We start from the raw sequence: 23,878 nt of genomic DNA, 5'->3' as shown, positions 1-23,878 counted from the left end.
ATTGTCCCAGCTTAAAGCTTGATTGCAAATTATGTAATGTGGGGCAAATTCAAAAGTAGATCTCCTTATAAATTTAATAGACCACAGTCACACCCATTCCTTTGCATATTGTAAAGGCTGTTTTGGCATGGCACTGAGAATTGAGCAGTTGTAAGAGGCCATTTGGCCCACAAAGCTGAAAATATTTACTCTGGCACTTTTTGGAAAAAGTTTATCAACCTCTGTTATAAATGAATTTTATGAAGACTTATAGCCAAAAAAATAGTTTTATTTTTCAACATATTTTATGTACAGTCCACATCAATTCTGTTAAATTCAGGGAAGGTATTAAGTACCAATCCACTTTCTCTCTATGGGTCCAAAGTAACTTGAAAAGATGGTATGTTTTTCATTCTTGTTTTCAGCATTAGATTGTTAGCCTACTGCAATCTTGATTATATCCAGGAATGAGGATGGAAAACCAGAGTAAGCAAAGCAAGCCACTTACTTTTTTTTTTATATATCCAATGAATTAGATTCATTTAAGTTTAATTTTAAAATATAATCACAGGCAGAAATAAAAGGACTAGTACCAAGCTAGGGGAAATTTTTAGGCCAAAAATTAGATTTTGTAAGTCAGGCTGAAAGAGAAACAGGTGATAAATTTCTAAAAAGGATAGGAGACGAAAGAACGAAGATACAAGGCAATATATCTGAAAACAGCTAGAACTAAAATTACTGCGGTAGGCTGCAGAACCCTCAGGTAAGTTAAACAGGACAAGTTTTGTTAAGCGCAAACATTAGCTAATCTACACTGTATCTTGTTTCTCTAAAGCCAATCCCTGCTCCTACCCCTCTCAGCAAGTGGGTAGTTAAGGGGAAAGAAACTAAAGCAAGTAAACGTGTCCTTCCTTTCCATCATCAAGATAAAAAAGTCAAAGAATCAGGATTTTGGGAAACTGTTAATTTGTACTTGGATGCCAAATACACCAAAATGAACCCAGCACTTTGATGGCAAAATAGGAAATATTTATGTAGGTTTTTATCCATTACTAGTTATTCTTTCCAGTAATAGCATCTGGGAACTAAAAGAAGCTAATGAGTAAACTGAAGCCCAGAAAAATTAAATGACTTGCCTAGGTTCTCTTAGCAGTCCTGTGCAGACACTTTTGGAAGAACAAAGCCAATCAGATAAATATGAACAAAGAATCACCCCAAAGATCAGAGGTAAAACTCTCTGAGGGGACCAGTGGCTGACTATAGGATTTCAGGGAGGGAGCCAAACAGAGCAATCCAAAAGGAACACTCCTTAGGGAGCCGTGAACTTACCATTCTAAACATTTAAGTTCATTAAAAAAAAAAAAAAAAAAAAGTATTACTAGGTCGGGCAGGGTGGCTCATGCCTGTAATCCCAACACTTTGGGAGGCCGAGGCAGGTGGATCATGAGGTCAGGCGTTCGAGACCAGCCTGGACAACATAGTGAAACCCTGTCTCTACTAAAAATACAAAAAATTAGCTGGGCATCGTGGTGGGTGCCTGTAATCCCAGCTACTCGGGAGGCTGAGGCAGAAGAATCGCTTGAACCTGGGAGGTGGAGGTTGCAGTGAGCTGAGATGGCGCCACTGCACTCCAGCCTGGGCGACAGTGCAAGACTCTGTCTCAAAAATAAAATAAAATAAACTTAGTACTACATAATCTAACACTGAAAATGACAATGTTACTAACATGCCACTTTTACTGGTCAAATTGAAAAAGATTTTAATGTAAGGCAGTACCCAAAGATCTTCACAAAGATTTATGAACAAATGATAATCACTGCAGCCTAGTTAACAGTGACCATTTTCTTACAATTTAAATGTCCAGAAATAATTTGCAGAACACAGAATATGATGGAGCTATCCTCTTAACAGACTTAAGAACAGGAGGAAATGCTAAAAATGTTTAACATAGCATATAAACCAATAAAAATATGACCCCAGTATTTAAAAAGTGTATACAGAAAAGAGACCAGAAGATTTACACAAACTCTTTAATGGTGGTTGGGATCTTGGGTGATTTTAATGTAATTCTTATCCTGTTTCATATTTCTAAAATACACGTGTATATCCCTTTCAACTAAAACACAACACAGTATGGCTCACTCCTGTAATCCTAGAACTTTGGGAGACCGAGATGGTCAGATCACTTGAGCCCAAGAGTTAAGAGAGACCAGCCTGGGCAACATGGCAAAAAATACAAAAATTACCTGGGTGTGGTGGCACATGCCTGTAGTCCAAGGTACTCAGGAGGTGAAGGTGGGAGGATCACCTGAATCCAGGGAGGTCAAGGCTGCAATGAGCTGTGATTGTGCCACTGCACTCCAGCCTAGGTGACAGGGTGAGACCCTATCTTAAAAGAAAGCCCACCATAATTGTTATTTTGAAAACAATTCAGTATTCCTTTTGTTTTATCTATTATTTATTTTTGAGAGAGGGTCTCACTCTGTTGTCCAGGCTGGAGTGCAATGGCATGATCTTGGCTCATTGCAACCTTCACCTCCTGGGCTCAAATGATCCTTGCACCTCAGCCCTCCGAGGAGCTGGGACTACAGTTGCATGCCACCATGCCCAGCTAATTTTTGGTAGAGATGGGGTTTTGCCATGTTGCTCAGGCTAGTTTTCGACTCCTGAGCTCATGCAATCCACTCGCCTCAGTTTCCCAAAGTGCTGGGATTACAGGTATGAGTCACAGTGCCTGGCCCAGTATTCCTTTTGAAGAGAAAATTTTATCTGGGAATCTCTCAAAAACATCAAAGATTGTTTTGCATGAAATTAACTCGAATTAATTTTTGGTAGGGATAAACTGGAAACAAACATTCAGTAGTAGGAGATATATCAAACATCCATAAAAGGGAGTATTTTGCAGCCATAGACAATTGTTTTTAATGACCTAAGAAACTGCTCACAGAGGAAAATACATAAAATTCTATAGAATGATCAAATAGGCTAAAAATAGAAAAAAACGCTAGCAGCAAATAATACCAAAATGTCAACAAGCCTCTCTGGATAAGGGATTACTAATGATTTTTAGTTTCTTTCTACTTTACTCTATTTTCTAAATTTCCAGTAAGTATTTTAACATCAGAAAAGAACCTTAAAATGAAAAAGTTATTTAACACACTATTTTTAAAATTACCCAATACAGTGTCTTGAAAACATGCCAACTTCCAAATATCTCACTGCCCTTCCTGTTTCTTCAACAATGGTGTTCTGAAGCATGGGAGGAAACATGAAGTAGTAAAAGGCAGTTTTTGTACACTTTACTTCAGTTATATATTAGAGATTTTGAAGATCTACTACATAAGCCTACACATTCACATTGTATACTTTTCTGGTGCCAGAACTACTAAGGTAGTGGAAATCAGCCAAGAGATGGTGGTTTTACCACATACTCATAACTGCAGAGGCTTTACAGACTCTTTAAAATCTTTTGTATAATAATTTCGAAGGTAAAATTAGTTTATCTTTCCCAGGTGAAAACAAAGCCTCTGATATCAACTCCACTACAAAGCCATTTGCAGGCAATCAAGACGACTAAAAATACTTCTGGTGATGATGACTGGCAGAGCCTCATTACGAATCAACTAAATAAAAGTGAAAATTTACTAAGTTTAGAAAATGACAACCAGCCAAAGAAAAGAAAAGCAGAAGAGACGTTGGAAAAAAACAACAGATTAAAATAATGTAGATAAGTGCTTTCAGTAGTGAAATTATGTAACTGAAATTCTGGTATAGTTTTTACTAGAATAAAATGACTGTTGTATTTAAAGCTCTACAGTTTGTCTTTGCTTTTCCAAGTTTTTCTAATGTGAAGAAATTGTATTACTCTACTTCTGTCTTCTCTCTGTATATTATCCTTTCTTTAAAGTGCTCATTGCTTCTTCAATATCCTTTTTTAAAGAACAGAATTTATGTATTGTATGACAGACATTGTGACCCCTTGTAATTTATTACTTCATATCCTCTGGAGTTTGTGATTTTAGTATAAATTTGAGACAATAACTGTCCAGACTAGGCAAATTTTTTTAGTTTATAATGTTTTACTATGATTTAGGGCTTTTTTTTCAAAGAACAAAAATTATAAGCATAAAAACTCAGGTATCAGAAAGACTCAAAAGGCTGTTTTTCACTTTGTTCAGATTTTGTTTCCAGGCATTAAGTGTGTCATACAGTTGTTGCCACTGCTGTTTTCCAAATGTCCGATGTGTGCTATGACTAAAAATTGAAAAATTAAACACAGTGTTAGTCAACCTTTTAGCCTCTGGTATTCTTTTATAATACTACAGATTTGAATCCAGTTAAAAGCAAGATTAAATATACCTAATTTAGAATAGTAAGAGAATTTAAGAATTACATAATTATTTAAAAAAAATCTTTACCATATTGATCCTAAGCCTTCTAATTCTCCTGAGCAACTATATAAAGCAGACATAAAAGTCATTAGTATTCTAGCCAATGCTCAGCCATTAAATGAAATGTGCTGGAAAATAGGACTCTTTCATTAAATAAGCTAATCACATTCAGTCTGAACTTTAATAAAATTATGATAAATAGCAACTATTTAACTACAGTCAAGTGATAACACCACCTTGGTTCTCTAAACATTTAAGTGAAATAATCGGAACAAACTAAATCGTTCTATAAAATGCTGCAAAGCATTAAATATCTTACCTGACAACTACTTTTCTCTGGGTCTGATCAATTTTGCAGTAGACCATTTTAGTTCTTACGGCTGAAAAAAGATGTTTTATATCGTATGTTATATGGAAAATTTCCAAGAAAAATAGCTAAGGTATGAAAACTGTGACCAAGTAAGCCATAATAAAACTTTATACTGTTTTCCAACATTATACACTGTTTAAATCTAATAAGCAAAACAGTATGGGGCAACCAAAAGAAAGGTCATGCATTTGTCCTATGGCTGCTGGGACAATCTATATTAAATAAATACTGCATACAGTTTTTTGCTGTTTTTTTTTTTTTTTTTTTTTTAAAGAATGCTAGGTGTTCTTCCCCTACCATCTCATATAGGGGAATAAACTAATTTCCTACTAAGTTATTACTTCTTCATAGAAAACTTAGAGCATTAGGGGAAAAAAGGTCAATAGTTCTGTACCTTTTATTAATCTTAATTGCATAATCCCAACTTTCAAATTTAAAAAGCTCAGAAAAAATTCCTGAGCAGTTAAGTTGCTTTATAATCTAATTGTTGGGGAAGAAGTTCTTGTTTCTAGGCTAATCATAAAAAAACTGGTAATGGTTAACACTTGAAAGATCACTTACTATGTGCCAGGCACTGTGCTTTACCTGTATTAATTCATTTAATTCTTACAACCACAAATGAACCCCTACATTCCTGTTTCACAAAGGAAGGGCCTGGTCTTAAATCCACATCTAATACTAAAATCTGTGCTCTTAACCACAGTGGTGTATTGCCTAAACGTCTTTGTTCTACGTGATTTCAAGGGATAGAATATAGCAGTTTATATTTCTACTAAATTTTCACCCTACAACAAATATATCCACTAATCTACTAAATACACATCTGCTATAAACAAATCTTTGTTGTGTAAGGCTCAGTTTCCAGATAAAAATCTTACTATGATCCATGTAGTAGATGAGAAATTCTAGAAATAAATGAAAATGTTCTGTCTGCCTTACCGTCAATAACAAATGCTTCAACATCATCAGCTCCAATCTGAAGTTCTTGCTGCATTGTGTCAAAAGAAATTTCCTTATTTTCTACTGCCATTCCCATAAAAGTAAGTAGTCTCATTTTTGCCATATTCTGTTCATGTAACAGGCCTAGAAAACAGAATAGTGAAGCCTGATGAGTGTTCATACTAATTAAAGACCTGCACAATTACATCTCATGTTAAGCTGTGGAAATTATTTTTACTTTTGTAATTGTGGAAATTATTGTTTGAGCACTTATATAGAACAATTTTGACAAAGCTTCTTATATTTGCAAACTATAAACTGACTCCACAGAGTATTAAAAACAATTTTTCTATAGTACCATAGGTGATAGATTCAAAGTTAAGAATCGGCCATAAAATGATTATTTTTAGACCCTAAAAGTTTTGCACATTTTACATTTTTAAATAGTTATACATTTTAGGAGATAAAATCTACAAAGTACATTTCATAAGAACAATTTCTATTTAGTTAAATTACCTAAGCTTATTTTTCACACTAATAGCTCTTCATTTAAACACAGAGGATTTCTTATCTACTTATTAGTTTTTTCTGTGTTACTATTACTGGTAAACCTGAAGTTTTAAAATACTTTCACAAACATTTTCAGTTATGAAAACATTCCATTTTGCTTCAGGTCACTATTTAAAAATCAAAACTACTTACAAACCAAAACTGTCAAAGTGTGTGTGTCATTTAACATTTATAGGCCAATACAGTTAGTACTAGATATAATTAAAGAATACCATTAAAAGTGATACTTGTTCTTTATAAGACAAAAGTAGAAAATTGCACAAATAATTCAAATTTTGCATTATAATTTCTAATGAAACATGCTGTTGTAATTATTCAAATAACAACAATGTGTTAGGCCTAGAAGAAAACTTAAGGAATTACCCAGTCCTGATCCTTTCACTTTAAAAACAAAACTGAGGAGCAAAGAGATTAAATGGGGACTTATAGTCAAAAAATAGCAGTGCTAGGCCTAGAATAGGTTCATTTCTAAAATAAAGGGCTAGAAATTTTAAAAATTAGGAATCCTAAATATATAACCTAGTCCTAAGTAGGAGCAGAATTCTAACATAATATCATATATACTTGTTTTGATGCTAACTTATTAATTATAAAACTAAGTTTCTAAAACTAATCTAGATTTACATGTTCCTTTTCTCTGAACTTTTGAACTATGTAAAATCAGCAAATGATCAATCAAGTGCCCTGTAATAAATTCAGAGCTTCAAGTCTGTATTGTTTAAAAAGTTCACTCTCTAAACACTCCATAAATAAATTTTAAATTTATAACATTCATATATTAGTGGAAGATTAGGGAAGCCCATTAACATAGGACATGATCATCTGTTAATTAGCTGTAATTATGATACAGGCTTCCTATTTGGCACAGATTCAACAAAAACATGATCACCATAACTCAAATGAATGAGGTATACAAGGAAGTATTGCTAACTGGGTTTAATGGAAATCTACAGGCGCCAAGAAATCAATTAGTGCACATTAACCCTAATTAACAATGCAAATTAGATGCCGATTAACTTTCTGAAGCAAAAGGTAGCAACTGGATAACACCAGATTACATGTGGACATGTTAGGGCAATTCAGTTGACACAAGATAATGCTACTGTTGGCCTAAGTTGTCAGTGTTAATAAAGGAAAATGTTCTGACAAACTGATTGCAACTTGTGGAATCTAGATAGTTGTCACTAGGCTTTCAGCTGTAATAAATGTTTAATTATAGAATTAAAATAAAAAATATACACATTAATATAAAGATGTTTTCTGAAAAGCATATAAACAAATTTCTAATAGAATACTGATTTGCATAGATGTTCAAGAAACGTAAGGCAAATGAAGGAATTTGAATTCTAGCTGGCACAATAAATTAGCAATGTTAACGAATTTTTTCTTATCAATGAATAAGTATTAAAGATTTTTTTCAAAAATTCCTTAACATTCTCAGTTCTATTGGCATGGACAGACAACTCTCTTTCAATATAAAGTGATAGAAACTTCTGAAATTTCTATTATTTTAAATACTCCTGAAATTAAATCTATTTTACTGCTTATCTTTTCTGCAGTTACAATCTTACCATAAATGAAAAAACTTATCAGAGGAATGAAGATTATTTCTAGGCTGAATTCCATAAAACCGTTATCTATTTTACATGTGAAAACTTGCATCTAAAAACACTTTAAATTGATGTTTAAAGTAACAAAGAACCAAACTTAAAACCCTTAGGACTCTTGTTCTGAAAAATCAAACTACTAAGGCAGTGAAGTATGAGTTAAAGACTTTGTAGGAAGCTGTGCTTTGTTTCATAAAACTAAAATACTACCATCAAAGAGGAAGTCACAGTGTACTGTGTCATATTTCAATTTTAAAGTTATAAAAAATCTAATTTTATGGAAACATTTATTCATTACTAATATGTCAAAACCTTAATGCAGTAATAAAAAAAGTGCATCATTGAGCAATTTCTGCATTGTCACTGACCCCTGTCTTAAAATGCTGCAATATAGAAAACCCAGTTTTAATGCATGCAATAGCTTATGAACCAGTGCTCCTTTGAAACAGTCAATTACACATCAATGGGGGAGTGTCAAAGTGTTAATTACTACTCCTTTTTCCTTGGTGCGTAAATAAAGAGGTTGCTGACATTAACATTCCATCACATAGCTTCATGCCACAAAACAAATTAACTGGGACAGAATGTGGTTTTCTGGGTCTAGTGCACCTGGCAAAGCTTTCTACACAAACACACTTACATCTACTTTATCTTGGTGTATTTCAAATGCCTTATTATGTTCAGAATAAGTCAATCTTCCCCAATTCCAATGGAGGCACACAATTTACAGGTGACAAGCATTAATGATTACCAAATTGAAGACTATCAAAATAGACCATACATTCATCTGTATCGTCAAGAACCAGGAAGACTAGTCTCAAAAACAAAAAAAAATTCAGTCTTAATATGGAAAATATAATCAATCTCTAATGTGTTTTGATTATTGCCTAGTAGGAGAACAAAGCACCTTAGTTTCACAGTTGACTCCAGTGTAAAGAAACTGGTAGTTTACAACATTTAAAACCTGTTCAACTGCAGATTTTCTGAGTTTTCTCTTTGTATTTTAGTATGTTAAAAACATGCTCCAGAAGGAAATTAAAATATTGAACATATGTAGGGTTTGCTCAATAAGGATGAATAAGATTTGATTCAATTTGACAAACATTTACTGAACTGATACGCTAGACAAGAAAATTCAAAGATAAAAATAATAAAGACTATGCTGTTTTCAACAAACGTAGTTAGAAAAGTCTTACTATCATGTAAAATTACATTTCCATTTCTAATTCCATCTTTCAGATCTAACTGGCAATACTATATACTTTTGTAATTTGTTAATGGCGGGGGTATCCAAGCATAAAATAGTATAGTAGGGGGGAAAAAACTATTTGTTACCATTCTGTGGCTATGGCTTAAAAAAAGGGACCAAAAATACAAATCACCATATATCTAAGGAATAAAGTCTTCTACAAAGAAACAATATTATTTTAAGAATAATGTTTAGCTTAATAAAGTACCTTTAATCATCAAATTTTATCAGCTCTTAAAACATTTCTGAAAGTTACCATTATGATCAAAGTAATGGTAATTCTTTCAGTTGCTTTTCTGCTCACTCCTCCATCTCTAAATTTTAAAAACAAATGTACCAATGGAACTATTTCTTCAATCTTCTCCAAACACCCGATTGTTGATATAACTTTACCTCAAAGAATCATGGTACAGAAGAGCTGGAAGGGCCTAAAGTTCAGCAAGCTCTTAAATGAGACAAAAAGGTTCCAAGTCATTTTCTCTCTCTTTTTTTTTTGTTTTTTGAGATGGAGCCTCACTCTGTCATCCAGGCTGGAGTGCAGCAGTGTGATCTGAACTCACTGCAACCTCTGCCTCCCGGGTTCAAGTGGTTCTCTTGCCTAAGGCTCCTGAGTAGTTGGCACTACAGGTATGTGCCACCATGCCCACTAATTTTTGTATTTTTAGTAGAAATGGGGTTTTGCCATGTTGGCCAGGCTGGTCTTGAACTCCTGACCTCAAGTGATCCACCCACCTCATCCTCCCAAAGTGCTGGGATTACAAGTGCTAAGTTGTTTTCTTTTCTTTCTTTTTTTTTTTTTTTTTTTTGAGACAGACTCTTGCTCTGTTGCCGAGGCTGGAGTGCAGTGGCACAGTCTTGGCTCACTGCAACCTCCGCCTCCATCTCCCGGGTTCAAGCTATTCTCCTGCCTCAGCCTCTCAAGTAGCTGGGACTACGGGCACCCGCCACCGCGCCCGGCTAATTTTTTGTATTTTTAGTAGAGACAGGGTTTCACCATGTTAGTCAGCCAAGATGGTCTCGACCTCCTGACCTCGTGATCCGCCCGCCTCGGCCTCCAAAGTGCTGGGATTATACCTCTAAGCCACCGCGCTGGGCCCCGAGTTGTTTTCATACTCCCAGTTTCATTCTCTTTCTATCACAAATGCCACCTCCTACACCTTCTTGGTTTCTGATTCTCAATTCATTCTAAGTAATATTTTAAACTGTCTACCTATTTTTGTGCTGTTCTATCATACACGACTCCTTTTAGGATAATCTACAAATAAGGCCACAGCCATACTTGCTGGAACACATAGTACATAACTGTTAGTGTATCATGTTCCCACCTCTGTGCCTCAAAGAATAAACCCCAAAACTTACCAAGTGAATCAATGAAGTCTTTATTATTCTGATAAAACTTGACATATGATGCCAATTTAGCACTCACAAAAATGGTTAAAAGCTATACAGATAAGAGACAAAAAAGATACCATCAATACAGAATTCAGATTTATTGTAAGATATTCTAAGATATTGTAAATATTATTTTAAAGATACTGACTCCTACATTTTGTTCAAGGCAGAAATATCATTCTGTTTCATCAAATTACCAAACCATCTGCTTTCACATGGCTCACTTTTAAAATGAAATAATCAGTAAATACACTGAGCTCTAAATTATCCACACTGAAAGATGATGGCTAATGGCATAGTCCAGATGCACAACAGTCCAAAATATATTTATACTTGCATTTGAAAAATGTTCATGTGTTTTTAAATATCAGACTTATATTCCTAAGTGGGGCTAGGAACAATATATATGTAATAAAAAAGAAACTTGTATTATCTAAGTCTATAATGATGAGTAAGTGAGAAGATGAAAGAAAGGGAGGTAGCCGGGCACAGTGGCTCACGCCTGTAATCCCAGCACTCTGGGAGGCCGAAGTGGGCAGATCATTTGGGGTCAGGGGGGTCAGGAGTCGGAGACCAGACCAACATGGCAAAACTCTGTATCTACTAAAAATACAAAAATTAGCTGGGCCTGATGGCATGTGCCTGTAATCCCAGCTACTTCTCCTGGAAGCTGAGGCAGGAGAATTGCTTAAATCAGGGAGGCAGAGGTTGCAGTGAGCCAAGATCATGCCACCGCACTCCAGCCTGGTGACAGAGTGAGACTCAGTCTCAAAAAAAAAAAAGAAATTAAGAAAGGGAGGAAGAATAGGACTCTGCTCAGTGGATGAAGAAAAGCTGGTCCTAAATATGTCTGTTCCTGATATAAAAAGAATACATAGTTCTTAATCTTTCCATATCTTGCCATTAGTCACTTTTATTAATGCAAAGAAAAAGAGTCCTGCTTCAGTATGTAAAATTTAGGAAAGGAGAACATTTTTCACATTAAAGGATAAACTACTTACATCATGAATAAGCTCGCCTTCCAAAAACTTGACTGGTTTTAAAGTAAGAAGGTGGTCAAAAAGAAATGCATTTGGATCTTTCAATGCTCGTACAATACACCTTAATTAGAGAACAAAAATGTAAGCTCAGGGTTTTGAAATCCTGGCTTTTCATTGAGTTTTTGCAGATCATAAAATATACTTAATTCGGCAAAATATCTAACAGTCCAAAACATATAAACAACATTAAAAAAGCTACAGGATTGGGTTAAGACAGGCCAACACATTTATCAGGTTCATCTGTTTTAACAAAATGAAATATATTAATTGTAGATAAAAACATAGCTGGAGAGAAAGCACCAAGGTAATCAAATAGTAAGCAGCAGCAGAACCACATGCCAAGACACTAAGTGCTTCACTTGCCTTACATCTCATTTATTCCTCACAACAACCTAGGAGACAAACAGTATTACTCTGCCCCCTTTATCAACTATGAAGCAGTTCAGAAGTGCTCATTAAGAGGTGGAGTAAGAATGTGAATGGAGGCAGCCTGACCTCAAAGTCAAGGATCTTTACCACCAACTTCCCTTTTTACCAACTCCTATCATGTAGAGGTCCACACAAAGCAATGACCAAAAAAAGAAGTTTCATAATCCTTATTACATAGATTTAGAAAACTGATTCTATTCTTGTTACCAGTTAGATCTAAGACTGTTAAAAGCCCTTATACTCATTAGCAATGGGTTAATTTTTGGCAAGCCATCAACTTTCCACCTATAACCTTAAAATTAGGGTCAATTGGCCCAAGATTAGGTTCTAATTCTTGGGTTGGGATCATCATCCCCATACCAGCAATACCCCCCCCGCCAGGTAAACGCCATGCAGCTACTTCATATTCAATCCACAGTTCTTCCAATATCAAACCTTGAATTTTAGTATCTACATTAGAATCACCAGGAAATACACACTATCAAATGGCTCTGGATCACTGGTAGTTGCAAACATGATTTCAGTTACTTAATTTAATATTGTAGCTTACCTCTACATCGCTGTCAAACCCTCATCAGAGTAACGTTTAACATTACCTGTGGGCATCAACTCGAGCCTGGGAAGCATTGTCCTCTGTGTAACTTCCGAGCAATTCCACCATGACTTTTGAAGCAGCATCACTAAAAAGAAATATTGCTTTAGGAACTTGAAAGCATTACTGCTATTCATTCATTTAAAATATTTTTAAGAGGCAGGTACTGTGCTGATGACATTATAACGGTGACTAAGAGAGACAAAGTCCCTGTCTATGGGAAAAGTCATAAAACCTTCCTTTTAGTAGGAAAGATGGACAACTAAGGAAAAGTAACTAATAAGTGCTATGAAGGAAATAAATGGTGATTTAATCAAAGCAACAAGGGCAGAAAACGGAAAGGCCGCTTTATGTACAGTGGGAAAGCAGTCTCCCTCAGAAGAGATGGCAAGTAAGCTGAGACCAAAATGATGTAAAATATCCTTTTCTTGGCCATGAAAAGAGCTGGGTTCATGAAAGGTGGGGTAAGATGACTTTCCAAGCAGAGGGAAAACCAAGTATAAAGGCCCTAGGCGCAAAAAAAGTTTTGTGTCCCAGAAACTGTTAGGACAGTATGGCTGAAGTTGAGACAATACCAAATATTTAAATAACTCTACTTAAGATACCCTTCCAATTAAATTATTCTTACAGTTATATACATCAGTTTCACTGGAGTAAATAGGGCAAAATAAATAAATGCAGTCATTCAAACTGGACTTTTAGAAAATGTTTATCTTTACTCCTCATGACTTCTTTAAACTGTGGAATCTTCAGCTTATAGAAAGCTTTGCTAACTAGGAGGAAGAGGTTTTTCTTTTCCTTTTTTCATTTTCTAAAAATACTTACTCCCCACATCTGAGTTTAGCCTGGGCAAAATCAGCAGGAACTGTATCATTTATTTTAAAATGGTAAATGCTATCTAAAACTTCTTTCAAAACTAAGGTTTACTAAGATTCAGAAATACCACTGTAGGCATGGCTAAGTGGTAACCCGCATCTTAAATGTAGTGATATAAATGCCTAGGCACAGTGGCGCATGCCAATAGTCCCACCTACTAAGGAGGCTTGCTTGAGCCCAGGAATTCAAGGCTGTAATGCACTACAATTGCACCTGTGAACAGCCAAATACCCACTGTACTCCAGTGTGGGCAACATGGTCAGACCCTGTCTCTAAAAATAAAAAATTAATACTGAACTCAACCTGGAAGAGGCCATGATCCAAAGGAGCCAGAGCAGCTAAAAAAAACTGTTTATTGGTGGTCTGAGCTTTGAAACTAGAGATGGTAGTTTTAGAGAACATTTTAAGAAATGGAGCACACTCACAGGTTGTGTGGTAATCAGAGACCCCCAAACAAAATGTTCCACAAACTCTGGTTTTGTGACTTACTCTTGTGTTGAAGAGGTGGATGCAGCAATGTGTGCTCAACCACACAAGGCTGAGGAGTGCAATGGAACCAAAGACAGCTGTTTCTAGAGAGAGTTCTGTAAAGCCCAGTGCCCATCCAACAGTGAAGAAAATTTTTGTTGGTGATGTTAAAGAAGATACAGAAGAACATAATTTGAGAGACTACTTTGAAAAGTATCGCAAGATTGAAACCACAGAAGTTACAGGAGGACTGGCAGAGTGGAAAAAAGAGAGGATTTGCTTTTGTAACTTTTGATGATCATGATAAAATTGTGGTTCAGAAATAACACTCTATTAACAGGCGTTAGTGAAGTGAAAAGGGCCCTTTTTAAACAACAGATGCAGTTGTGGAGTGGATCTAGCAACTTTATGGGTTGTGGAGGAAACTTTGGAGATGGTAGTTTTGGCCATGGGTAGAAACTCTGGTGGAAGAGGAGGATATGGTGCTGGGGTGGTGGCAGCAGAAGTAGTTATGGAGGAGGGGTTGCTGGATATAATGGATTTGAAGGTGATGGTGGCAACTACCGCAGTTGTCCTGGTTTTGATAGTAGAGGCGGGTATGGTGGTGGTAGATATGGTGGCAGCAGTGGAGGATATGATGGTTACAATGAAGAAGGTAATTTGGGGAGTGGTAATTACGGTGGTGGTGGGAACTATAATGATTTTGGATATTACAGTGGACAATGACAACCAAATTATGGACCCATGCATGAAAGGGGGCAGTTTTGGTGGATAAAGCTTGGGCAGTCTCTATGGTGGTAAATATGGTAGCACAAGGTTCTAAAAACAGCAGAAAAGGGCTACAGTTTTTGGCAGGAGTGCAAGCAAGGAGAAGTCAGAAAAGCTGCAAGTTACTTTGAGGCAATCATCCAAATGCATTAGAGGAACTGTAAAAATCTGCCACAGAGGAATGATGATCCACAGTCAGAAAAGTTACTGCAGCTTAAACAGGAAAGCCTTCTTGTTCAGGACTGTCATAGCTACAGGTTGCAAAAAGTGCACTATTGATTAATGCAGTGTAGTGTCAATTAGATGTACATTCCTGAGGTCTTTTATCTGTTGTACCTTTGCCTTTTTCTTTTCATTACATCAGGCATGTTACCCTGTAAATTATGGTAGTGTAGTGGTACCAGGAATAAAAAACTAAGGAATTTTTAACTTTGCAATAAAAATTAAAATTAAAAAGTATAATGACTTAACTATAAAAATTCAAAGAAAAACTTTTAAAAAACCACATCTTACTCATTAGTTATCTTGTGCCACACTGTAAGCACAGGTGCAAGTCATTTTCCAGTTTTAGCAACTACAGTATACTTCAACCTTCTCAGCTAAAGAAATCTTTTTAATCCACTTGAAGCACACAGCATGGTGTCTGACATGTAAGGGCTTAGTTACCAGTAACACCCTTTAAAATGCACAACAGGCCTGGTGCGGTGGCTCACGCCTGTAATCCCAGCACTTTGGGAGGCGGAGGCGGGAGGATCACAGGGTCAGGAGATCAAGACCATCCTGACTAACACGGTGAAATTCTGTCTCTACTAAAAATACAAAAAATTAGCCGGGCGTGGCGGCGGCAACTGTGGTCCCAGCTGCTCAGGAGGCTGAGGCAGGAGAATGGCATGAACCCGGGAGGTGGAGCTCGCAGTGAGCTGAGATTGCGCCACTGCACTCCAGCCTGGGCGACAGAGCAAGACTCCATCTCAAATAAAAAAAAAAAAGCACAACAAACACCATGTGCATCAACCACCAATATAAATAAAGTCATGAAGGGGGCACCCATAAACTTGAAGCATTTTTACTTAACTGCTAGGTAAAATCTCAGAATTTTACTGATTAAAATATGTATTTTATGTGTTCTAAAGAAGAAAACCAACTCTCAACATTTAGATTGGCAGAATGTCAGAAATGTCGTGTTTAAACAAGTATCCCCTTCCAGTTCCCTACTGTGGGTAGCATTTATCCACTCAGTGCCCAATAAGTGCTATCTTCTTGGGAATGCAATGGTTTACAGATGAGGTTCCTTGCCTTCACTTAGCCTACAACCTTACTTTCAACTAAGGGTGTTAAATGCTAGGATACAAGTAGAGGGTGCTGTAAAAGGGAGGCACTAACCGAAATATGAGAGGGGTGTTTCTGGCAGAGACATGAAGCTGACTATAGTAAGACTACTTAGACAAGGGGTAGGCAAACGTTCTATAAAGGGCCAGAGAGTAAATATTTTAAGCTTTGCAAGCTATATGGTATCTGTTGTAACTAAACTCTTGGCAAAAGCAGGCACAGACAATATGTAAATGAATAGGCATGGATGTAATACCAATGTTATGGACCCTGAAATCTGAATTTCATATAATGTCCACATATCATGAAATATTACCCTTTCTTTGATTTTCTTTCTCAATCATTTAAAAATGTTAAAACCATTCTTAGTACACGGGCTATAGAAGAACCAGTGCCAGCTCCTGGTCCAGACTGGCAAAGAGCATGGTGCTTTTATACCTGACATAGGCTCGCTGGGTCTAGAGTGTGATAAGCAAGAGGAAGGACATGGGTGGAGAGATGGAATATTTACATTAACACAAAGTTTTTTGTAGTCTGCCACTGCACCATCCAAAAATGATGAGATGCTTCACCACATTCACCAAGCTCATGCTACAGCAGTAGGTTGAAGCCCATGTTGGAAAGGCCCCACCTTTCTTTTTTTAGAAAAAAAGCCAAATTTCACTTTTTAAAAAGTTCAAAGATGAGGGAAAACTACTTTTAATCTTTATAGTTATCTTTAACTTTAGGTCAAATTTATAGAAATAGATTTATAGCAACTCTGTGGAGAACAGAGTAAAGCAAAATTACTGGCCCTACTTCTCTTTAAAAAACATCCCCACCTACTTATACTGTCTGTTAAGTGATATGTTAGTTCATTACTTTTGAATACCTCTTCTTACAATCCACAAGTGCCTCATAAAGTAGTCTTAAAAGGGTGTGCTTTTTTTCAGTGGTGAGATTCCAGTCAGAAATCCATTTTCTAACCTACAAGAGATTGACAAAAGGAGAAAACTGAGTAACACATATAAAGTATAACATATAAAAGTACATTTCTGGCTGGGCGTGGTGGCTCACGCCTATAATCCCCAGCACTTTGGGAGGCCAAGGCAGGAGGATCAACTGAAGTCGGGAGTTCGAGACCAGCCTGACCAACATAGAGAAACCCCGTCTCTACTAAAAATACAACATTAGCCGGGCGTGGTGGCGCATGCCTGTAATCCCAGCTGCTCAGGAGGCAGAGGAAGGAGAACTGCTTGAACCCTGGAGGCGGAGGTTGCGGTGAGCTGAGATTGCGCCATTGCACTCCAGCCTGGGCAACAACAGTGAAACTCCGTCTCAAAAAAAAAAAAAGTACATTTCTTATAAGCAGAACAACTATTCCACACAGTAACTCACTTGATCCAGCTCAGTTGGGATGTACTGGATGGCCCCACAAGATGCTGCCACTTTAATAAGGCTGCAATACACTGTGTATCTTACAGGAGTATTCTTATCCATCCCGTGGAAAAGGTTGCTTAACCTGGTTGGTTAACAAACAAATAAACAATGTTTGAAATCAGCAACCAGTTTTAAGTTGAGGTTAGCTCTCACCACAAACCTGTGGCAGGTACCGTTAACAACTTCATATTACAAAGGAGGAAACTAGGGCACAGAAAGGTCAAGCCACTTGCCCAAGGTCACAGCTAATATGAGCCACAGCTGAGAGTCAAGTTCCAGAATTCCTGCTCTGCACCATTAAAAGTTAGTAACATGAAAAAAGCACCTAGAAAAACTGAGTTTCTTTCAGATCTTAACTTACAACTGCAGTCTCAGAGACGGGCGTTCACCTTCGCGAAATTTGACCAGCTTTTCACATAGGCTTTCAATCAAAGCTTCTTGCTTGTCTGGTTCCAGGATCAAGAGTAGGGATACCACACTGTTCATCACACTTTCAACATCTACACAAGTATGGATAACACAATCAACAGTGATACTACAATACTCAATGCGTCTAGTTAAATATGCATTTCCAGTGTTTTAATACAATGAAGACCATCAAATGTAAGACACTTTCGCATTCAGAAAGCAACTTGTATATTTTATTAAAGAGGAAGGAAATTGATACCTAAGATGTGGTTTCTTTTTTTTTTTTTTTTTTTTTTTCAGATGAAGTCTTGCTCTCTTGCCCAGGCTGGGGTGCAGTGGTGCGATCTCGGCTCACTGCAACCTCCGCCTCCCAGGTTCAAGCGATTCTCCCGTCTCAGCCTCCCAAGTAGCTGGGACTACAGGCACCCGCCACCACGCCCGGCTAATTTTTGTATTTTTAGTAGAGACGGGGTTTCACCATATTGGCCAGGCTGGTCTTGAACTCTTGACCATGTGATCCACCTGCCTCGGCCTCCCAAAGTGCTGGGATTACAGGCGTGAGCCACTATGCCTGGCCTATGATGTGGTTTCTAACTAGTAAAACAGAGACTGATTTACATGTATATAAAGTTTCAATTTTCACTGTCATGATATTCAATCATTTGGAAGTTACTGGTATGATTTAGGACTAGGATACTTTCTTAATTAAGGAAAACTTTGTGTATACATATAGGAAATCAGAAATTAAAGCTGTCAGCTCTCTGCTTGAATTAGTTATTTTTAAGTATTACAGATATTAATCATATCCCAAATTTAATCTAATTTTTTTGTATATGTGCTGCCGAAATCAGCATCCAAGTTTGATCTCTAAACCTTAACTAGAGATTTCCGAACTCAACAATTCTGAAAATTTCCCATTCTATCTCAATAAACAGGAAACTGGCCTAATAATTAAATGGCTATTAGATTACTTGAAACTGTATCCCATTTGATGTTAATCTGAAACTTATGAACAGGAAAGAGCTTCATTTTTTTCATTTTATTCTAAGACTATAAGCATTTAGTGTAATAACACTTAAGAAATACACCTATGTATAAAATAAAGGTTTTCTCAAAATAGGTTTACTTTATAGGTATAATAGATTACACAAACTGAAAGCATGTGTGAAGGTAAGATTGAAAACAACAGTGCTTAGACTCTGGTTAACAATGTATTGTATAGTTGAAAGAGCTAGAAGAGAACTGTTGAATGTTTCCAACATAAAGAAAAGATGTGTGATATTCCAATTACCCTGATTTGATAATTACACATTGCATACATGTATCAAAATATCACCTGTGCCCCCAAAATACATACAACCACTACCTATCTATTTAAAAGTCCTGTAGTCTGAAATTCAAAACATATAAATACAGTCAGCCTTCTGTATCTGAGGGTTCCAAATCCTCCTTGCCTCAGATAATGAGGGACGACTCTATAATTCACAAGAAAAATTTAAAAGATTTTATTAGGAAATATTAGAAAAAAATTAAAAACAAACCTTTATCATCCTCCTTCAGACACACATCACAGGCTTCAATAATTTGAGCTAAATCAACATGAAGTCCACCTTCCGAGTTCTCTTCTGAAATCTCAGCTCCTTTAGATTTCAGATAAGCACGAAGCTCAGCAGCCTGTTGAGGATTGCTCTATTATAAAACTGACTACGAATGACAAAGCACAATCTCAAATTCTGTCCTCTTTCTGAAAAACTAAAACGGAAATACTGTATTCAACAACTATTTCAAATAATGTTGAAGACCCCTCCCTCACCTCATCCATCTTGGCAATCCCACAAGAGCCACAGGTTTTCCTCCATGAGGTCCAGTGGCTCCTTAGACACACTACAGCCCCCATGGATCACCTTCAGAATTTCTCTCATGTAGTCTGCACCCTGCTGGACTTCCAGCATACAGCAAAAATCTTTTTGATAATATAACCCAAAGGGTTTGGTGGGGGTGTGGTTGCTGGGGAGAAGAAATCAATCTGACTTGGCAGATTTCATTTTTTTGAAAGAAATGAACAATAGTATTGCTCTCAAGTACACACATAACCACAGCTACTAGAAAAGTTACAGACATTACCTTGGCAAAAGGGTAATCATTTGTTAATCAGTTGAGAAGCTATTTGAGATAAGCATTTTGGTTCACAAAAGGGCAATGCGGTGAATGCTGCCTTAAAATTACATCGAACTGGATCTGTTATGTAACTAATCTCTTAAAATTAAAAATGCATATCTGAGTCAGCATGCATCTTCGGACCTATAAAAACACAACTACAATAGCACATTCAGTCACTTGGACATTTCCTACCCTACTACCGAATTATATATATTTATTCCATTTTTCTTCTGGGACTCTTTATGGCAGCCAAACAAACGCAGTTTTTTTTTGTTTTGTTTTGAGATGGAGTTTCACTCTTATTGCCCAGGCTGGAGTGCAATAGCATGAGTGCAATGGAGCGATCCCGGCTCACTGCAACCTCTGCCTCCGGGGTTCAAATGATTCTCCAGCCTCAGCCTCCCAAGTAGCAGGGATTACAGGCATGCGCCACCATGCCCAGCTAATTTTGTATTTTTAGTAGAGGCAGGGTTTCATCATGTTCGTCAGGCTGGTCTCAAACACCTGACCTCCGGTGATCCACGGGCCTCGGCCTCCCAAAGTGCTAAGATTATAGGCGTGAGCCACCGTGCTCAGCCTGGTTTTAAAGATAATAAAATGAGGATGTGCAACAGGAATATGAAAGGATACCATTAGTAAATGCACAGGCATTACATTTTCTAGACCAAGCCAAAAAAAAAAAATTCAAAGCCATCAAGATTTTTAAACCCCCAAGTATATTTAGTTGCCTCAGGAAAGTATTAAACCTGCAGATCTGACGGTACTATCCTTTCAGGTAACAAGAACACAGTAACTTCATAGAAGAGTTGGTATTATAAGCAAAATTAAAAAAAGAAAACAAACTGTCACCATGTCAGAGAAAACAAAAATACCTCCAGAAATCATGCTTCATGCTTCTCTATGGAGGAAACAGATACACAGCAAACTTTTTCTAAGAACTATTGAACCACGTTTGCTGTTTTTCTGTCATCCTCACTGCCACAAGTGGTTGTGGAAGCAGCATAAGCAAAGGAAAACAAAAAAAGATAAAGAATTCCATTTAACTCTAATCAAGCTGAGAATTTCACCAAAGTTAAACTAATCCTGAGCAATTTCATATTTCCCTGAAAGGACTGTCTACAGCGATACTGATGTTACAAGAACAGAAGCAGAGCCTGAGAAAAGACACTTTAAGATACGATCAATGACAAGAACTTCCTCCATTCACTTTGTATGTTAAAAAAAAAAAAATTCCAAACACTTTCTCAGTTAACCTAACAGCCAACTGTTGGTAACATGCTTCCATTTCTAATCAGGTATCTTTTTGTCTTTCATATCTTCCTATCTGTGCTTAACCTCCCCATCCTTGACCTTTTCTCCGCCTTTTGCATTTTCCCTTCTTACTTTGCTCTTCAGAGCATCGGAACTGCATTCCTACCATGGGGCGGGGGGAGGAGAGAGGGGGAACTCACTCCCGCAATTCTGTAAGTTGTCTTAGACAAGTAAACTTCCATGCGAAGTTTATGATATCCAATCATTTGGAAGTTACTTCCGTGTTAGTGGAGTAACAGAAATAAAACGACAAAGTTAGGACTTCACAGAAGAATTTTCAGCAATACAAAATTAACTTAAAGAATACGATGTCGTGTTCAACTCCTACCAAATAAGGTTAAACTTTTGTTATGGGGAAAATGAGAACCATCAGCCCTGTATACCAAAGAGCAAACGCCAAACGGGAAATTTAAAAATATCAGGATGGTCCATCAGGTGTATGCCTCACAGAATTTAAGAGCTGAACTGATACCATACTTCCGGGGTACAGAACAACTCTCACCCTCATACAAGTAGGAATAGAAAGCAAGTGTAAAATACGGGTCGTCTTCGCCTGTGATCGCACAGTAATACGGGCGTTTTGATCTTTTTTTTTTTTTTTTTTTTTGAGAGGGACTCTCGCTCTGTCGCCCAGGCTGGAGTGCAGTGGCGCGATCTTGGCTCACTGCAAACTCCGCCTCGCGGGTTCAAGCGATTCTCTTGCCTCAGCCTCGGCAGTAGCTGGGACTACAGGCGCGTGCCACCGCGCCCGGGTAATTTTTTTGTATTTTTAATAGAGACAGGGTTTCACCGTGTTAGCCAGGATGGTCTCGATCTCCTGACCTCGTGATCTGCCCGCCTCGGCGTCCCAAAGTGCTGGGATTAAAGGCGTGAGCCACCGCGCCCGGCCCGGCATTTTGATCTTTAGCACAAAATTACTTTTCCCTACCCTGCTTATGCTAACTACAGATTCACCACCTCCCACTCCGAATGTGGCTGCATTTGACGGACGGAAGCAGACATCATTCCTCATCAGTCTAAAAGTACTATGTCGTCAGAAATGAGTCCCGACGCCGACCAGGGAGCTGGCGGTGAAGCGTCGGGCCCCGCGCTGGGACCGCCGGCCGGCGAGCTGGTGCGAATCGAGGCCAGGAACGCGCGCCCCAGCCACCGGCCTCCCCATTCTCGCGTGTAGAACAGCTGCGGGTGTCAGCCCCGGCCGCCCGGCCCAGGCTCGGCAGCGGTCCCTTGCGCTACTAGGACATCCCCCACCCCACCGTGGCGGCACCCGTAGACCGAAGCACACCTGATCTTCTTCACTGATGTCGATGAAGGCCGGGACGCTCATGGTGCAGGCCCGGGCACAGCGGACACTCCACTCGCAAGACCACGCCGACCGGAAAAGGGAACTGGGCCGCGCGACGCTGCTGGCGCAACTGCTTCCGGGTCACCCTGAGCGGCGACCTGTTGGGGCGGGGCCTTGAGAGCCAATCCTATCGCGCGCTCTCGCCGCGGAATGCAGCAGGGCGTGGCAGACGCGCTCGGGCTGGCCTAGTGGGTGGGACTTACTGGGCCTCCACTCAGCGACGCTTGTCGCGGCCTCCAGTTTTCAGGCCCGTGTAGCTAACTGCATTGATGTTGCCTCCCGCTGGCGCCTCCCTAAGTCCACCTTCCCTTGAAATGTTAAGCTTGTTGGGTCTTACCAAGTATGGATGGGTTTGTGTAGACCTGAAACTCTCCTGTACTGCTGTTGGGAACATAAAATGGTGCAGTCACTTTGCAGAGGAGCGGCAGTTTCTGAAAAAGTTCAGTATCCACCCAGCATATGACCCAGCTATTCTTCTACCCAAACTGTATGTCCGTACAAAGACTTGTACAAGAATGTTCATTGCCGCTTTTAAAAAATAGCAGCTTTGGCTGGGCGCAGTGGATCTCACGCCTGTAATCCCAGCACTGTGGGAGGCCGAGGTGGGCGGATCACTTGGGGTCAGGAACTGGAGACCAGCCTGGGCAACATGGCAAAACCCCGTCTCTACTAAAAATACAAAAATTACCGGGGCATAGTGGTGCGCGCCTGTAATCCCAGCTACTCGGGAGGCTGAGGCAGGAGAATCACTTCAACCTGGGAGAAGGAGGTTGCAGTAAGCCCAGATCATGCCACTGCATTCCAGCCTGGGCGACAGAGCGAGACTCCGTCTCATAAAATAAATACACAATTCAGTAGTTTTTAGTATTTTCAGAGTTGCACAACCATCACTACTATTTAATTTTAGAACATTTTCATCACCTACAAAAGAAACTACCCATCAGCAATCACTCCCCAGACCCCCGGCCCCACCTCTCTCCAGCCCCTGGCAAACACTACATTTTGTCTCTATGAATTTGCCTTTTCTGGACATTTCATGTAAGTGGAATCACAAAATACACGGTGGCCTAAGTCAGACTTACTTCATTTAGCATAATGTTTTCAAGGTTCGTCCATGTATCCCTCCTATATTCCTATTTATTGCTTATAATATTGCATTGTTATGGATATACCACATTGTGTTGATTTGTTCATCAGTTGGTGGACACTTGGGTTGTCTCCATTTTTTGGCTATTA

The 23,878-nt window shown here is 38.3% G+C and overlaps 2 protein-coding genes and 1 pseudogene across 6 annotated transcripts in view, besides 4 other annotated features; 2 read left to right on the top strand and 1 right to left on the bottom strand.

The window, feature by feature from the left end:
• The window catches only part of CCDC73 (coiled-coil domain containing 73), a 227,865-nt gene extending 224,074 nt beyond the window's left edge, over positions 1-3,791 (top strand). For all 4 annotated transcript variants that reach the window (XM_047427029.1, NM_001008391.4, XM_047427030.1 and 1 more), the window contains one exon: positions 3,492-3,791. In XM_047427029.1, coding sequence (XP_047282985.1) covers positions 3,492-3,701 — 210 coding nt within the window. In that variant the 3' untranslated portion in view covers positions 3,702-3,791. The remainder of the gene's footprint in view (positions 1-3,491) is intronic.
• EIF3M (eukaryotic translation initiation factor 3 subunit M) lies at positions 248-22,681 on the bottom strand. Of its 2 annotated transcripts, NM_006360.6 has the most exons (11): positions 22,583-22,681; positions 19,368-19,500; positions 17,780-17,918; positions 17,377-17,500; positions 16,871-16,965; positions 12,563-12,646; positions 11,499-11,598; positions 10,465-10,546; positions 5,680-5,823; positions 4,690-4,750; positions 248-4,233 (listed from the first exon to the last, which is right to left on the bottom strand). In NM_006360.6, exons 1-11 carry the CDS (start codon positions 22,622-22,624, stop codon positions 4,113-4,115), a joined length of 1,125 nt encoding a protein of 374 aa, NP_006351.2. In that variant the 5' UTR covers positions 22,625-22,681; the 3' UTR covers positions 248-4,112. The 2 variants fall into 2 exon arrangements, with proteins under 2 accessions (NP_006351.2, NP_001294858.1); NM_001307929.2 differs by lacking the exons at positions 17,377-17,500; positions 17,780-17,918; positions 19,368-19,500.
• HNRNPA3P9 (heterogeneous nuclear ribonucleoprotein A3 pseudogene 9) lies at positions 13,746-14,741 on the top strand (annotated as a pseudogene).
• Positions 19,706-19,805: a silencer, noted in NCBI's record as "silent region_3223". NCBI's record gives its function as "represses an Ori minimal core promoter by ATAC-STARR-seq in GM12878 lymphoblastoid cells {active_cell/tissue: GM12878}" and the evidence as "EXISTENCE:reporter gene assay evidence [ECO:0000049][PMID:35858748]".
• Positions 22,318-22,970: an enhancer, noted in NCBI's record as "H3K27ac hESC enhancer chr11:32605088-32605740 (GRCh37/hg19 assembly coordinates)". NCBI's record gives its function as "activates a minimal SCP1, AML or CMV promoter by ChIP-STARR-seq in naive and primed H9 embryonic stem cells {active_cell/tissue: H9 hESC(naive and primed)}" and the evidence as "EXISTENCE:reporter gene assay evidence [ECO:0000049][PMID:30033119]".
• Positions 22,526-22,675: an enhancer, noted in NCBI's record as "active region_4565". NCBI's record gives its function as "activates an Ori minimal core promoter by ATAC-STARR-seq in GM12878 lymphoblastoid cells {active_cell/tissue: GM12878}" and the evidence as "EXISTENCE:reporter gene assay evidence [ECO:0000049][PMID:35858748]".
• Positions 22,836-22,895: a silencer, noted in NCBI's record as "silent region_3222". NCBI's record gives its function as "represses an Ori minimal core promoter by ATAC-STARR-seq in GM12878 lymphoblastoid cells {active_cell/tissue: GM12878}" and the evidence as "EXISTENCE:reporter gene assay evidence [ECO:0000049][PMID:35858748]".

Source organism: Homo sapiens, chromosome 11, assembly GCF_000001405.40.
Source record: "Homo sapiens chromosome 11, GRCh38.p14 Primary Assembly".
In the NCBI taxonomy this organism is placed as follows: domain Eukaryota; kingdom Metazoa; phylum Chordata; class Mammalia; order Primates; family Hominidae; genus Homo; species Homo sapiens.
The sequence above is the reverse complement of the archived record's forward strand: the minus strand, read 5'-3'. Positions and strand labels throughout refer to the sequence as shown.